The 17,751-nt window shown below is 41.0% G+C and overlaps 1 protein-coding gene across 16 annotated transcripts in view; it reads right to left on the bottom strand.

Moving 5' to 3' along the window:
- The window catches only part of FMN1 (formin 1), a 429,171-nt gene that overhangs the window by 248,916 nt on the left and 162,504 nt on the right, over positions 1-17,751 (bottom strand). Inside the window, exon 1 of one of the 16 annotated variants that reach the window (XM_047432441.1) lies at positions 4,141-4,593. The exons of the other annotated variants lie outside the window; for them this stretch is intronic. Within the exon in view, the coding sequence (XP_047288397.1) occupies positions 4,141-4,246 (106 nt within the window). The 5' untranslated portion in view covers positions 4,247-4,593. Of the gene's footprint in view, positions 1-4,140; positions 4,594-17,751 lie in introns of those variants that run through there. 16 annotated transcript variants of the gene reach the window in all.

Here is a 17,751-nt window from a genome sequence, read left to right on the forward strand (position 1 = left end):
GTTGAAAAGGGCAGACTCATTTGAAGTCACATTAGCCCCTAATGGAAGTTAATAAATCAATTTAAATAATCTATTCCACAAGAAACAAGTCTAAAGAACGTCTTTTTGAAAACAATAATGTAGTCCATGAAAGACAGAGAAAGGAGTAAGGCTCCTAACTGGCAGGATTCAACATTTTGGAGGAAAAAAAAATGAAAGAACTTTCTCTGTACAAATAAAGCTTTCTTAGTCTAGTATTTAGCTAATTGGTTCCTTCCCTTTATGTTGCACAAACCTTCCTTTTTGATCAGTTCACAATAACAAAACATCCTTCCTGCCAGGTGTCATTACAAAGTTTGTGCCCTCCAATTTGTGAAGAGCAGAATTACAGATGATTCCACAAACACAGAAGGCATGCAGTAACCACTGCTGAAGTCCATCACTTACTAAATGAGTTTACCTAATTACATATGGGTACGGATAACATTATTGAGGGTTATTTTTCAGGAATAGTTCTAAGCACTTTACACAGATTAACTCCTGCCATCCTCACATCAAATTGAAAAGGTAGACCCTATCATATCGAGACTTACTTTACAGATGAGAAAACGCCTCAGGTTGAACAGCTTTCCTAAAACCACATGCTAGTTAAGTGCCAATAATATCATTCAGACCCAAAGAACGTGTGCTGGCTCTGCAGAGTTTTTGTTTATTCCCTTGTTTTCGTTCTTGCCGTTCTTTTGGTTACATAAGCAGCAGATGCAAACAAAACCCCAAGCCTCTGTAAACTTCAAAGTTGCTTGCTTTATCCTATTACCAGAATCACTCGTAAACTTGGGGTAACTTTTTTCATAATTCTGTAAAAGGGGAATGCTAATTTTAATCACAGGGAGGTTTGAAGAGCCAGGGGTCAGAGTGAATGGTGTGAATTTCAATGGCTGGCACCGACAAGTTCTGTGATTATGATTCGTCTGTCTTTTCTAAGGGAATTTCAGGGCCTGTAGTTACTAGTTTCTGGTTAAATCTGATTTTCATTTATGCGCTCTTTCTTACACATATATCCAAGCCTCCACCGCATCACACACGCACATGACATGGGCAAAACTGGATTATGTACAGTTAGGAAGTAGAAACTTTCTGAATTCTCCACTGAGTAGGAAACATGGATCTACTCCTACCCGCGGATCCTGATATGTCCGGCCTGTGCCTCTCACTGGCCTTTACCCACTACCTCACATTGTTGTATTTTCAAGTACATATGTGACTTAAAAAAAAAAATCATTCCTCTGAATTATACTTGGACGATACTCAATCAGTGCTTCCAAAACTTAGCACACACACCGGCAAGGTCATTTTTTGTAGGTATCTGAACTTTTTATTTTGACAGTTAAATGTTTTAATGTGCATTAGGGAAAAATTATCAAACACACACATAAAACCCGTGATTTCACTGATAATGCTTCCCAGATAGTGTTGATCGGAGTTTGGTCCCTGGACCAGGAGCATCAGCATCACCTGGAACATCTTAGAAATGCAAATTCTTTCCTCTACGGTGGATTTATTGACTTGGAATCTCTGAGGCTACTTTACCAAGCCTACCAAGTGATTATAATGCACAGCAAAGTTTGAGAACCACTGCTTTAATAAGGCTTATTTAAGCAAAAACAGTAAATTCATTAAAATAACAAATTAAATAATAGTAAAAATAGTATAAATATGTATCAAATTTCAAGAAGCTGGTGCATAAAGGATGACATTTGAAAAAATATGCTAATCACTGACAGATAAATACAAATTCAAACAAACTCATCCGTGAGTGAATGCACAAAGCTTCTCTGACCATTTCTAACATTGACAAAAATGGTCACAGTTCATGTAAGGCAGAGTCACAAGTCATTTATTCCAAAATCTAAGAATAAAAATCAAATGTGAGCTTTCATATTTAATAAGCTTATGAAACCAAAGTGTGCAGCCTGGTCTTGGGGCCCTGCGAGTCCTCTGTTTCCCTTCCAGATGCTTATAAACAATGCAGTCCTTAGTAACTGTGCAGTTTGAAGAAAGCATAACCGGTTTTGTGTCTGTCAGAAACAGTGGAGGTAGATTCAAAGGCAGTGAAGTAAAGAGAAAGTAGTCAACAGCTGCCAGCAGAGCTTTTTAACTGGGTGTCTCAGGCTAGCAGCTGGTGAGAGGCTGTTACCTGTAATGTTGATCCAACACCTTTTGTCAGCGGGCCTTCAACCAGCACACACGTCAGCAAAAGCACAGGAAGAGATCTAACTCCACTGTTTGATGATTGACTCCTGACAGTTTTTAAGCCTCACCCCTCCTTCTTCCCCGGTGTCCCACACACCTGGGCGATCTGATAGTAAAGGCTTTGACGCAGGAGATGTGAACCACACAGACCACTGCCCGCAGAAGCCATAGCCCAGTACTGTCTGTTGAACGCCATAAAAACCCCAAGCCAGTTTTCTACACTTTCTCTTGCAAGTCATTTTTGGACCAGCTTGAGAGGCCTGTCTCGCTTTCCCCAGAGGTCTCCTTATGTGAATAATAAATCTTTTCATGCCCTTGTGTGTGTGCAAACACATAATGCATCTGCGGTCATCAATATTGGCATCTCAATCAAATTTGGGGTGGCTGGGGTTCACCCTGCCTCTTCAAAAAGGATGAGGCCGTACCCTAGAACTTAAAGCATAATTTAAAAAAAAAAAAGTGGTTGCCAAGGCCTTGGGAGGAGGGAGGAATCAGTGGAGCGACAGGGGGTTTTTAGGACAGTGCAACTACTCTGTATGCTACTATAATAGTTGATACGGGTCATACATTATTCAAAATCCATCTTCAGTACAGAGCCAATTCTAATGTAAACTGTGGACTTTAGTTAATAATAATGTATTGGGTCAACTGTAACAAATGTACCACTCCAATGGAGAATGCTAATACTAAGGGAAAGTGTGGTATGTGGGCGCAGTAGACGGTGAGAGGGAACTCTACTTTCCGCTCAATTTTTCTATCAACCTAAAACTACTCTAAAAATAGTTGATTTTTTTTTTCAAAAAAGAAGTGAATTATCAGTGAGTCAACCTACTATGTTGTTCAATAACTTACAGAAAGGAGCCTAATTTCTATATCAGAAAAATAAAATATTGGACAATAACTGGGAGAAATCCCATGAATTTAGGAATTGTAACTGTCAACCTTTCCTCATTCAACACATAAGAATTTCTTTAGGCAAAAATATAAAAATGTCAGTATCAAAAGATGGGGGGAAACTTCTAATTCTCCAAGCCACTAGTTTCTTACCGCTATGGTTTGAATGTTTGTGTCCTACTAAAATCCATATGATGGGCTGGGTGCAGTGGCTCACGCCCGTAATCCCAGCACTTTGGGAGACTGAGGCGGACGGATTTCCTGAGGTCAGGAGTTCCAGACCAGCCTGGCCAACATGGCAAAACCTAGTCTCTACCAAAAATACAAAAATTTGCTGGGTGTGGTGGCTCGCACCTGTAATCCCAGCTACTCGGGGGGCAGAGGTAGGAGAATCACTTGAACCCAGGAGGTGGAGGTTGCAGTGAGCCGAGATCACACCACTGCACTCCAGCCTGGGCAACAGAGCGACACTACCTCTCAAGAAAAAAAAAAAAAAAAATTTATATGTTAAAATCCTACCCCCTTAAGGTGATGGTACTAGGAGATGGAGCCTTTGGGAGGTGATCAGGTCATGAAGGCAGAGCCCTTGTGCATGAGATTAGTGTGTGTGATACTGCAAAATATGTATTTGGCCCTTGACCCCACTTCCTGACAATTTCTAAAATCCTTACACTTTCCAAAGTGATGTCTTTTTTTTAATCTTAATGATCGACCAATAACTGGAAGCCTTTAGGTAGCTTCAGGATGGGGGCAGGACACCTGAAAGACCAAGACATGATTAGAGGGTTGGGACTTTCAGTTCCACCTCCCAACCTATGGGGAGGGCAGAGGAGCTGAAGGTTGAGTCGCTCACCAATGGCCAATGATTTCATCACCCATGCGTACATAATAGAGCTTCCGTGAGAACCCAAGAGGACTGGGTTCAGAAACCTTCTGGACAGCTGAACACGAAAAGGTTCCCAGAGGGTGGTGCGCCCAAGAAGAAATGTAAGCTCTACGGCCCTTCCCCCGTACCTTGTCCTATGCATCTCTTCATCTGTATCCTTTGTACCATTGTGTCCGGAATTGGTGTGTTCTTGGTCTCACTGACTTCAAGAATGAAGCTGCGGACCCTTGCCATGACTGTTACGGTTCTTAAAGGTGGCGTGTCCGGAGTTTGTTCCCTCTGATGTTCGGATGTGTTCGGAGTTTCTCCCTTCTGGTGGGCTGGTGGTCTCGCTGGCTTCAGTGAATCTGCATACCTTCGCGGTTGAGTGTTACAGCTCTTAAGGCAGCACGTCTGGAGTTGTTCGATCCTCCGGTGGGTTCGTAGTCTCACTGGCTCAGGAGTGAAGCTGCAGACCTTCCTGGTGAGTGTTACAGCTCATAAAGACAATGTGGGCCCAAAGGAGTGAGCAGCAGCAAGATTTATTGCAGAGTTAAAGAACAAAGCTTCCACCATGCGGAAGAGGACCTGAGCGGGTTACCACTGCTGGCTCCGGCAGCCTGCTTTTATTCTCTTACCTGGCCCCACCCACATCCTGCTCATTGGTCCATTTTACAGAGAGCTGATTGGTCTGTTTTACAGAGAGCTGATTGGTCTGTTTTGACAGGGTGCTGATTGGTGCATTCACAATCCCTGAGCTAGACACAAAAGTTCTCCACCTCCCCACTAGATTAGCTAGATACAGAGTGTCCATTGGTGTATTTACAAACCCTGAGCGGGACACAGAGTGCTGATTGGTGCATTTACAAACCTTGAGCTAGATACAGAGTGCCAATTGGTGCATTCACAATCCCTTAGCCAGACATAAAGATTCTCCAAGACCCCACCAGACTCAGGAGCCCAGCTGGCTTCACCCAGTGGATCCTGCACCGGGGCCGCAGGTGGAGCTGCCTGCCAGTCCCACGCCGTGCGACTCCTCAGCCCTTGGGCGGTCGATGGGACCGGGCGCCCTGGAGTAGGGGGCGGCGCTTGTCGGGGAGGCTCTGGCAGCGCAGAAGCCCGGGGCGGTGCGAAACTCAGGCATGGCGAGCTGGAGGTCCCGAGCCCTGCCCTGCAAGGAGGCAGCTAAGCCCCGGGGACAAATCGAGCGCAGCACCAGTGGGCCAGCACTGCTGGGAGACCCGGCGCACCCTCCGCAGCTGCTTGCCTGAGTGCTAAGCCCCTCACTGCCCGCGGCAGGGCCGGCAGGCCACTCGGAGTGCGGGGCCCGCCAAGCCCATGCCCACTCGGACCTCTAGCTGGCCCGCAAGCACCGCGTGCAGCCCTGGTTCCCGTCCGTGCCTCTCCCTCCACACCTCCCCGCAAGCGGAGGGAGCCGGCTCCGGCCTCAGCCAGCCCAGAGAAGGGCTCCCACGGGTGCAGTGGTGGGCTGAAGGGCTCAAGTGTGGCCAGAATGGGCGCCAAGGCCGAGGAGGCACCGAGAGCGAGCGAGGGCTGCCAGCATGCTGTCACCTCTCACTATGCTTTCTAGTAAACCAGGAAATGTGTTTCCCTGAGCTCTGTGAGCAACTCCAGCAAAGTAACCAAATCTAAAGAGGCTGGGGGTTGTGAGAACCCCTACTTGAAGTTGGTCAGTCAGAAGGTCTGGAAGCTCAGACTTGTCACTGGCATCCGAAAGGGGGGCAGTCTTGCAGGACGGAGCCCTCAACTTGTGGTATCAAATACTATCGCCAGGTAAACAGTGTCACTATTGAATTGGGGAATACCCAGCTGCTAGTGTCCACTACAGAACTGACTGCTTGGGAAACCGACCCCCCCAACCCCCCCACCAGATTCGGTCACTATAAGACTATGTGGCCAGGCGCGGTGGCTCATGCCTGTAATCCCAGCATTTGGGGAGGCCGAGGTGGGTGGATGACTGGAGGTCAAGAGCTCCAGACCAGCCTGACCAACATGGTGAAACCCCGTCTCTACTAAAATACAAAAAGTAGCCGGGCGTGGTGGCAGGTGCCTGTAATCCTGGCTACTCAGGAGGCTGAAGCAGGAGAACTGCTTGAACCCAGGAGGTGGAGAGTTGAGGTCACGCCATTGCACTCCAGCCTGGGAGACAAGAGCGAAACTCCGTCTCAAAAAAAAAAAAAAAAAAGACACTATGCTTAGTTAGCCTCTTTCATGCATGTGCTCAGTGTCTCCGTGTGCCAGGCACTGAACTAAGCATTGTGTATATAAAAGAAACAGCACACATTTCCAACCTTAAAAGGCTTTCAGGATGTGCATCTTTGAAATATCTAAGAACTTTTGGCATTTATATTCCAGTATTAGCCCTTTAAGCCTGTGTTTTCTTAAAAGACTTTATTGTATTTCATTTGATCATTTTATATATGTTAATGTGAACGACTGGAACTTTAACAAATATTTAATCTGCTTTCACCTCTTTCTTTTTGGGCAATGGAGAATACTTCCTATGGCTTTAAGCCTTGGCCATATGACTTGTTTTGGCTAGTGGAATATAAGCTGACGTGATGTAAGGAGGGATTTAAATTTAATTGCATAGTTTGACTTGCCTCCGGTACTCCTGCTATTTCATGTAATTAAAACATATTCTGGGTGGCTACAACTCACTCAGCCTGGGTCCCAGAGAAAGATACATGGTGCAGACTTAAACCCTAGCCACAGTCAGCAGTCAAGAACAGCCTGAAAAAGCCCAAACCAGCTCAGCTGAACCTTAGTTGACCTTTACACCTATGCTAACAAATGCTTGTTACCGAAAGCTGCTGAATTTTAGCATGGTTTGTTACACAGCATTATTACAGCAATAGCTGATGAATACACTTGGTAAGTTTTCAGTCAAGTTAACAATTTAGAGACTCATAGCATTTTGGATGCTTCCAGCAACTGGGGTGGAGTCTCACCAACTTCTCTCTCTCTCTATGCATACACACACACACACACAGAGAAAAAGGTTTAAGGAAAGAGGATAAAATGGGAGACATGAATAGGCTTATATTGTTTAATACTCAAAAAATTAGTTCAGGACAGATATTGAGTCTTTATGTTCTGGGATGATGATATAAAAGAGGTACAAAAAGTCAGGAAATTCGTGGCTATATCTCTGACTTTTACCTGTATTGAAAAGGTATGTATTCAAGGCCTGAGACCATTTGATGGACACCTTACCATGGAGAAAACTGTCATTAAGTCCAATTCTAGCTGCCAATCCTGGGATAACCTGCCTTCTACCCTGTTCTTTTCTGTTACCCTTGTTTTATGTTCTATCATAATAGAGGTGCTAAGCAGTTTAAAATTCCATGAATATATGGTCCCTAAAACTTACAATCTCCTTTCTACCTATGTGGTTTTTAAAAATCATAGTCAACAACAGTTAAATAATGGCCACAAAACAAATCTTCTAGAAAAGGCACACACTTAACTAGAATAAAATTTCAACTACAATTGAAAGTAACCAACTCCTGTCACTAGGTGGCAGTCACAATAAAGTCATCCCTTGGTGGGAGGGATTGGTTCCAGGACCTGAGGATACTAAAATCCGTGAGTCCTTATATATAAATGGTGTAGCATTTGTGTATAACCTATGCATATCCTACTAAATCACCTCTAGATTACTTATAATAAATACCTAATACAACGTCAATGCTATGTAAATACTTATCTTTTTTATTTGTATGATGTTTTGGTATTTTTTTCCCAAATGTTTCCAATCTGAGGCTAGTTGGATTTGCAAATGCAGAATCCGAGAATACAGATGGTCAATTGTACTTCATACTGAAACTCGAAGTTTGCTATCAAGTGCCACAGCAAGACTTGAAGGATTGGGTATGGAGGGGAGGCTGGGGAGAGACAAGGATGAGCCAAACTGAAACAACCACTTTTCCTTGATTTGAAAAGTGGACTAGTATGGATATGGTAACTAGCTGAGAAATATCAGAACAAATAAGAGGAACTTCCAATCTGATGTTACTAAAAAAGTTAAAAGTGTCCCAACAGACCTCCAGTTGTTAAAGGTTCACATTTTTTAGCTCCCTCCTAAGCCTATGTAACAATGAAAATTATAACATAAAGCAAGTAAAAGACACAGACAAGTACCAAAGCAGAATTACGTATTTCAGAAATAGAAATGGGACAAACCAGTAAGTGGCACTTCAGGCCTGAAGCTCTGGCCTGCTGTGCCCCAGTTCCTCTGGCAGGCAGGGCAGGCAGGACATCCTGGAGTCAAGTTACTGCAGAGTAACAGGGACTGACAGCACTAACGTGGGGCAGGAAGCCAGGCCCAGACTTGTTGCCTAGAAAAAGGGACTGAGACACAGCTGTAGTTCCCAGATGGGAAAGGGAAGTTGGAAGAGGTTGTCAACTGCTGCCTGGGGGTCTTGGCTGGGGCACAGTGGCTCCAGCCTGTAATCCCTGTGTTTTGGGTGGCAGAGGGTGGGAGGATCTCCTGAGGCCAGAAGTTCTAGGTGGAAGTGAGCTATGATCGCACCACTGCACTCCAGCCTGGGTGACAGAGCAAGACCCTGATCCCCCTCCCCCACCCAAAAAAAAAAAAAAAAAAGAAAAAAAAGACCAAACCTCAAATCCATCTATCCCTGTCACCAGCCGACTAAATCTGCAACATTCACATACCACCTCAGGCTAGTGAACCCAATACGCTATTATAAGAGCGACTTAGTCTGGGGGTCTTACCTGGTAAGACAACTGCAAAACAAATAAGGGTAAAGGGGAAGGGGAGGGGGAAACTTAAAAAAAAAATCATCCTATAGATCACGAGCCTTCAAGCCAAACTTTCAAAACATAAGAAGAAACCTAAGCATCGAGATAGATAACACAATCAACAATTGAAACATGACATCACCCAATGCAAATTTAAATCTTAAACATATGAAAATATTTTAGTAATGTTTAGAATCCTTACCAAAATAAAGGCAAGAATAATAATCATCATAAACAATAATGATAGTAGCAACACACTAAGAGACAAGAAACAATAGTAGGTGATTGTAAAATTCTGATATATTAGAAACAAAATACTCAACAGACATTGAAATAAAAGGTGCAAAAGCTTAATAAACTCAGGTACAGTCAAGGAAGGAGTTTGTGAGTAAAAGATACTGAATAATTAATTGAAAGTGCAGCATGGTGCAAGAAAGGATAATAGGAAAGAGCAAATACTGAAGAGACCCTGGCATTGACACAGTGATAGAAAAAAATACCAAAAAATAGAGTACAAAAGGAAGCATATAAATAAAGCCAAGCAACATATGGAAACATAATACGTGATTTGAGGTTGCATTGAAATTTGTGGGGGAGGGATAGACTATTTTTTTAAAGCCACATTTAAGAAAAATATTCATACTTCAAAACCATTCACAAGAATCACTTTTAGTGATTCAGCTATATTAAAATATACCAGAATCGTGTCTGTTGAAAGATGGCAGGAGAAACTGATAAGCCACATAAATGGAGAAGACATTTGCAAAGCATATAACCAATAAAATGTTAGCATCCAGAATAAAGAAATCCTATAAATAAATAAAAAGGATAGCAACCATTAGAAAAATGAACAAAAGGACAGTAAATTTATGGAAGATAAACTCCAAATGGCTAATAAACATATAAACATACAAAAAGACACAATCTCACTTGTCCTCAGGACAGCGCAAATTAAAACTACAGGGAATACTATTTCACACCTATCAGATTTTTTTTTTTTTTTTTTTTTTTTTTTTTTTTTTTTTTTGAGATGTGGAGTCTCGCTCTGTCGCCCAGGCTGGAGTGCAGTGACGTGATCTCGGCTCACTGCAAGCTCCGCCTACTGGGTTCATGCCATTCTCCTGCCTCAGCGTCCTGAGTAGCCAGGACTACAGGCGTCCGCCACCACGCCTGGCTAATTTTTTGTATTTTTAGTAGAGACGGGGTTTCACCGTGTTAGCCAGGATGGTCTCGATTTCCTGACCTCGCAATCCGCCCACCTCGGCCTCCCAAAGTGCTGGGATTACAGGTGTGAGCCACCACGCCTGGCCCAGATTTAAAAATATTAATTAGTCTGCTAATACTAACTGCTGGTGAGAATGCATTAGAATTCCACACATTGTTGATGGGAGCATTAACTGCAACAATCACTTTAGAGAACATTTTGACAATATCTACCAAATGTAAAGGCGCACATAAGTAAAATCAGAAATTCTACTCTAATGTTCATCCTCTAGTGAAGCATTTACACATTAATACAAATATTAAAAAGAACACTATGGAACCATTGTTTCTAACAGTGAAAAATAGGAATAAACTTAAATTTCCATCACCAGCACTACAGACAAGCAATTAAGATGTACATTCACTCAGAGTGATATTATGCAGATATTAACATGAATGAAATAGAGCTATACATACGAATGCAGATAAATCTAACAAACATTATTTTGAGAGAAAAAGCTGCCAAAAAATACATAGTGGAAGCCATTTTGTAGACTCATGAAATACATAAAAACCATACTATCCACTGTTTTGAGACTTTATACATTATTGTTATAAGTATAAAACATGGGATTAATAACAATTTTACCCAAGTGGCTGGGGTAGGGCATATAGAAGGCTTCAAATATATTTGTAATGTTTTATTTCCTAAGTTAAGTAGTGAGTATAATCATGAAGTTGAACACAACTAACATAATACACTTAAAATCTATGAAGCAAAAGAAGCTGAGAGAAATTCAATAACAAAATTAATCAAAATGATATGAAATATCCCTCTACCAGAAATAGATCAAGCAAATAAAAACATAATGACTGACACAATCAACAATCTTGATTATATATACCCCAGAACCAACAAATCAACATGTATCTTTTTCAGGAACATATATTTTCAAAATATATCACTGACATATTTGCAAAAAATTGATGATTCACAAAGAAAACCTTTCAAAAATTCTTCAAATACTGTCACACAGGCCATGCAAAAGTAATGCTTTCTATAATGCAATTAAATTAAAATCCACAATAAAATGATAAGCTAAAAACAATTAAAAGAAACTTTAAAAACCTAAAATTAACAAATCTATTTCAGCAATTTGTGAAACCCAACCAACCAACAAAGCAATTATGCGGCGTTTGTTCTAAGAATGTAGGAACTATATATTATCTGAAAATTTATCAGTGGTATCTCACATTAACATACTAATGGAGAAAACCTATTGTATCTCAAAATCTCAAAATGATACAGAATGACACAGATAAGGCTCCACATCATTCTTTGATTTTAAAAAGAAAAAAATCTTCTTAGCTAAGTTAGAATAGAAGAGAATCAGATTCAGAATATCTTTCAAGAACTTTCAACAAACTTTGAAAGTAACGGGAAAACTTCAGGAGGCACGATTTAAAATGCACACCATTACCCACATTTTCCTACATTAAACTAGAGGCGTGAGATAATGTGCTAAGAAAAGAGATGTAAGAATTGGAAAAGAAGAGATAAAACTGGTAATGTTTACAATGATATGGCTCTCAAAACTTACACTGTGACAGCATCTGAATGGGGTTTAAAAAACCCATGCTATATATTGCTTAGGCATACACACACACACACACACACACACACACACACACACAGAGGTTGATTGTAAACAGCAACCCACAGAGTTCTGCATGGTGGTAGCCACACATGAATGCTGGGAGAGTTAATCATCTCTGGGGAAAGAGGCAGAGAAATTGAATAAAGGGAGGTAACAAAAGGGGCCTCAACACTGGTTTTAAAAATCTAAAGAAAATATGATAAAAAGCTTAAGTATAGATGGTTAATATATAAATACTAACTCTACTTTATTCTATTTGTTTGAAATTATTCAGGATCCTTCTTTATAAACATTAGAGGATACGTCCAAATTTTCACACACACACACACACACACACACACACTTCTGTTTATAAGACTAGGTTTAGCCTTATAATCAGTGAGGAAAAAATTGCCTACCTCAAACAGAATGTACACTCAAACAATATATAAAGTACTTGTAAGAAAAAGCATATTCCTCATATAATACATATATGATTTTATATCATGATTATATAATGCATATATAAGCATTGGTTGACTTGACTGAAAATGGTAGAAGAATCTCTGTCCTTAGCTTGTGCTTTGACTCAGTAACTGACAGAGCCTTTTATTTAAAGCTGACAAAATGAACCTCAGGAGAGAGAGGTGAAGGTCAGTCTCTTAAGAGGCAGGTGAAAGTCAGCCAGATTTAACTCGACAGAGAGTGGAATTTTCTAGTAAACCAGGCCAGACAAGTACCCAGGAGGCCAGGCTACCTGCCCAGGTTTCTAAGGGAGACAGGACACTTGCATTTCCCACGTGGTGGAAAAGTACTCCAAAATATGTAACATATTGCAGCTGTCACTGGGCTTACTGCCTCTAAGAATAAGGTCCTATTTTGCATTGCTCCTACCATTCAAAATTTAAGATCTGAATTTGTGTGGAGTGTGGGGGTGCTGTTTTTAAATCTGCATCTCTCAATCCTAACACTAAAGACAAGAAAGCCTAACAGACATATTTTTTTTTTAATGCAAAAGTTTGGAATAGAAAACTAAGAAACAGCTTCCTATAGAAATATGGGAAGAGGTAAGCTCACATCAAGAGTACACAGGCCAGAAAATACGGACAGCACTCTGGTCTTCTAGTCCAGAAGCCTAGCCCATACCTCCACAGGGTGCCAGGAGATATGAGCTATACCTATTTTCTATTTTAATTTAGAAAATAAAAGTACAGGGTGCTCAGTTAAATGTAAACTTCAGAATAATAACAGATAATTTTTTAGTATAAGTGTGTCCCATTCAATATTTGAAATATACTAAGTAATTACTCATTCACTCAGTTCACATCTTGTGTTTTATCTGGCAACTCTAGGAACTCTTAAGTATTCTTAGTGAGAACTGTATGCAATGGGCCAGGAATTTAAAGAAATTGGGGACTACATTTGCACACAGGTGGAAACAGAGCCAACTAGAATCACGGACAGCCAGAAACACTAGTTTTAGACATTTCAGTTTAACGTGCCCTTTTCAAATCTTCTGGGGTTTTGTTGTTGCTTTATGGTAGTAGTTTTAGCTTTGTTTTTCCCCCAAGTAATCTGATCTTTCCTGATAACCGACTTTCTCATAACTGATACAGTGAGAAACGATCTAGTGTTCAAAGTGAACGGGATAAACAATAAAAGAACAAATGAAATGGAGACAACACACACACACGAATATACATACACAGCACCTGTTGTCCCTTCTTGTAGAGGGTTAGAAATATGACAGACAAGAGCATATGAAGAAAAGCACACACTGATTCACAGCCAAAATACAGTTGCTGCTCAAAGGTTGTACTAACAGGCTTCTGAAAATCAGTCATCCACATCTCACCACCTGTGATCCCGCTACAGTGTTACTAGCATCAAAATGAGAAAAGATGAACTGGAGAAGCAACCAGCTCACTTGGGCAAGTCAAAATTTCTCCATGAGCCAGCCTATTTAATCCCTACCCCCATAAAGCGTTTATTCCAGTGGCTTTAAACATTGACTACATATTACAATCACCTGGGGAGGTTTAAAATTTACTTATGTCTGGATTCCAGCCCTAGACATAGACTTAATTGGCATGAGATGCGTGTTAGGAGCTGGAATTTTTAAAAGCTTTCCAGGTGACTCTGATAGACATCCAAAGTCAAGAACTGCATTTGTAAGTTATCCCCAAACAGTGACACCTGGGGAAGGCCAGAAAGTGACACGTGTATATAGATTATAAAAAGTAAGCTCCTACATTTGACTCTCACTCCAAGCTCTCTGCTATCCAAGTTGATAAGGCCACAAAAGTGAACTTTGCAGTGAGCCAAGAGCTAATATAAAGGAACTGGGTTCTTCCTTACCCTACACAAGTTGCCCTGAAATTCTAGCAACTGGAAATAATGCTCAAATGCTGGAAAAAACATATAAAGAACTACAGAGGAAAAAATAAAAATAAAAATAAAAATAAATAAATAAATAAAAATTTTTAAAAAGGCAAGATACTTTTGGAAATCCCACTTTACTGGCAAAACTCAAGATAATCTGTGAGATCATTTTTGAAATGCACCATCTGGGCAGCATGTGAAGGATATCAGCTCATTTCATAGAAATGTTCGGTTTCATCTGGTAGCAAACCTCAAGGGGCTGCTGGCCACGTGCCCTATCCAATCTCTGGGGTAGAACCTGGTCAGAAAACACATTCTTCTTCCCCAGATGCCCCAGTCTGAGGCTCAAGGCAAACTCTTGATTAACTCTAATACAGAAACAAAATACTTCTTAAGTTTCTTCAAATGCTCCCTCCCTCCTATTGATCCGACGCTAGTCCAAACAACAAGTCATTTTCACTAGTTTGAAAATAATAAAATAGAAAACAGATAAATTTGCCACCACAAAAAGAACACAACTTCCTGGTTTCTGTGACAAGTAAGAATGTTTCACCTAAGAAATGACATTGTCAGAAGTAATATCTATCTGCAAATTGAAGCTGATTTGAAGAAATACACTTAAATAATACCATAAAAATCAGAATCTTAAGGACAGAGTCTCAGAGGTCACTTAGACTAACCCCCTTCCTCAAAATACATAAAGAAACTAAGAAATGAATACCCAAATAAACTGACTCATTCGATTTATAGCATAGAGAATCTCAGCTCCATATGCAGGTGGAAACACATTTTATGAACACACAAGGAAAAAAAAAATCACATGGCTGTTCAGCAGAGCACAGGTCTCCTGACCTTTCTAATATATTTTCTACCATACTCTGAAGCCTCTTTATGGCTTTTAAATGAGGTCAAATGCTCAGGGTAAAGGGAGAGAGAGAGAGAACTAGATGTTCTGAGGGAGATGGAAAATACTTGAAATAGCAGCTGTTGAGAGTCGCGTGTAGACTAGGAACACACGCTAGGGATGGAGGACCTGTTTGTAACTAGAAACCACAAATCCACACAGTGGCAGAACCTTGACAGTTGTATTAGTTTTCCTCAATAGCTTTTGTAGTCCAGACAAGGGTAGGAAGAGCCAAACGTTTGGATCTCTCAAGACTAGGGTTTACCACATGGCTGCTATAGAAGGCAATGGGGTAAAGAAATCAAAGATATCACCGAGAATGCAGCATTAAAGAATCTCAGTGTCTCAGAGAAGGAAGTGAAGACAGCAAGAGCTGACAGACACAGAGAAAAAGATGTCTGGAGTTAAGCCCCTGAGGAAGAAGGGATCTGTGGTTTGGGAGAACTGTGGGAAAAAGCCAGAATGATAGAAGTTGGTAGGTAGAAACAGGAATGTTATAATTTATCTTTTCAAAGGCCAGGTGCGGTGGCTCACGCCTGTAATCCCAGCACTTTCGGAGACCGAGGCAGGCAGATCATGAGGTCAAGAGATCAAGACCATCCTGGCTAACAGGGTGAAACCCCGTCTCTACTAAAAATACAAAAAAAATAGCTGGGCGTGGTGGCGGGTACCTGTAGTCCCAGCTACTCGGGAGGCCGAGGCAGGAGAATGGCGTGAACCCGGGAGGCAAAGCTTGCAGCCAGCTGAGATTGCACCACTGCACTCCAGCCTGGGCGACAGAGCAAGACTCCGTCTCAAAAATAAACAAACAAAAAACTAAAACTGTGTTAAGTAAATATAAGAGCCAGAATGTAGATGCAGATAGTATTAGCTGACTGAAATGGAAAAGAATCACCACTGGAAGTGAGGAGAGGCCGGAATTTGGAATGGGTTATCCCAGTGTTCATTAAAAGAAAATAGAGACCAGAGACCTGGTAGGTCAAGAGATGAATGTGACCGGAAAAGTTCATCTTGAAAGTCACATAATGTATTCCTGAATCCCCAAAGAACTGAAAAATCACGTCACTCTGTGGATCTACGTTCTGACTTACTGAAGTTTTGTGTTAAGAGCTCTCACAATACAAGGATAAGCGGCTTGCAATAAATATGCCTTATTGGTTTAATGGGGACATTAGGATCTGGTTTCAGTCACAAAACCAAACAAATGATAACACTAAAATAGAATTTTATATTGCCAAACCATGTTTTAATGTTTACAAATGCCCTATTTCTTCATATACAAGAACACCACTGATTCTAAGATGCATCAGTATTTACATACCGAAAAGAAAGTAAAACTGCTGTTAGTTATAATTGTAAAATGCCCATTGTAAAACACATCCTAATTTCAGGTGTAGAAAATGTGTATTATACATTAGATAAAATATATAAACTCAAATAATCTATATAAACCTTATGTGGGAGTTTTTTTATTAATATACTTTAAGTTCTGGAACACATGTACAGAATGTGCAGGTTTATTACATAGGTATACACGTGCCATGGTGGTTTGCTGCACCCATGAACCGGTCATCTACATTGGGTATTTCTCCTAATGCTGTCCCTCCCCTAGCTCCCCACCCCACCCCCCGACAGGCCCTGGTGTGCAATGTTCCCCTCCCTGTGTCCATGTGTTCTCATTGTTCAACTCCCTGTGTGGGAATTATTATTATTATTATTACCACATCCGTGTTAGAAGTAAAAAAGATCAAGGCACAAACAGCTTAAATGGTTGCCCAAGCTTACACAGGTAATAAGAAATACAGCCAGGATTCGAACCCAGGAAGCCTAACTCCAGAATCTATATACTCTTAATGTCCACAGCATACTATCCAAACTCAATAAATGTCCATCGAGGAAGACAAAAAACCATCATGATACACAAGCCTAAGCTTTCTACCATCAGGAGGAGCCAGCACTGTGGAGAGGGTCTGCTTCTGATGCACCTGAGAGCACAAACTTCACAGAGGACTTGCAATCCACAGGGCAGATCTGACTCAGGCCCAGTCCTCTCCAGAGGAGCTGCCCCAATTAGTGGTTTCCTGAAATACAGACCTCGTGGCATGACCAGTCAGCACCAATTCATCCCCACCCACAGGTTTTTTTCCACTTGGCCATTACTATCCCCATTAAACCTTTAGCAATATGTACTCGTCCTCTTCTTCCAGTTGTCATCATATGCTTCATTTCATGAAGGCAACTCCTGGAGCCGCGTTCACAGCTGTCCCAAATAAAGGAGCCACAGCTGAATAAGCAGCCAGATGCATCCAGCCATCAGGTGATACAGCCTCAGGCTGCTCCATTCCCTCTGGCTCTCACGACTGGCAAGCTGGAGGGCCAGGCTCATGAAATTCACATATTCCCACTGACTGCATTAGTTACTGTGGTAACAGATGTCACAGAAATAGGAAGTCACAGTCATCAAGTTTCTATGTCCTATAAATATATGAACAAATGTTCAACCTTGTTGGTAAACAAATAAATATTGATAAAGCAGTAATGTATCAATTTTTTGTCTACTTGTTTCCAAAATGTTTTCACATTTTTATGTCATGAAACCCGATGTTGTCTAAAAATCAATAAATGTAATCATGAAGTGTTACAATCATTAACAACAAAAATAATAATTACTACTGCTAGAACTGTTGCTAATATTAACAGTTATCGTATGTGTTCTACGAACCAGGAATTGTGCTAAGCATTTTACCTGACTTACTTTCTCTAATCCATGGAGGTTTTAACCATAGTATTCCACTTGTAGGACACTTAGGGTCATTAGTTAGGAAAGAGAAAAGCAGACTACCTTTTGG

The sequence above is a fragment of the Homo sapiens genome, chromosome 15 (assembly GCF_000001405.40).
Source record: "Homo sapiens chromosome 15, GRCh38.p14 Primary Assembly".
Classification (NCBI taxonomy): domain Eukaryota; kingdom Metazoa; phylum Chordata; class Mammalia; order Primates; family Hominidae; genus Homo; species Homo sapiens.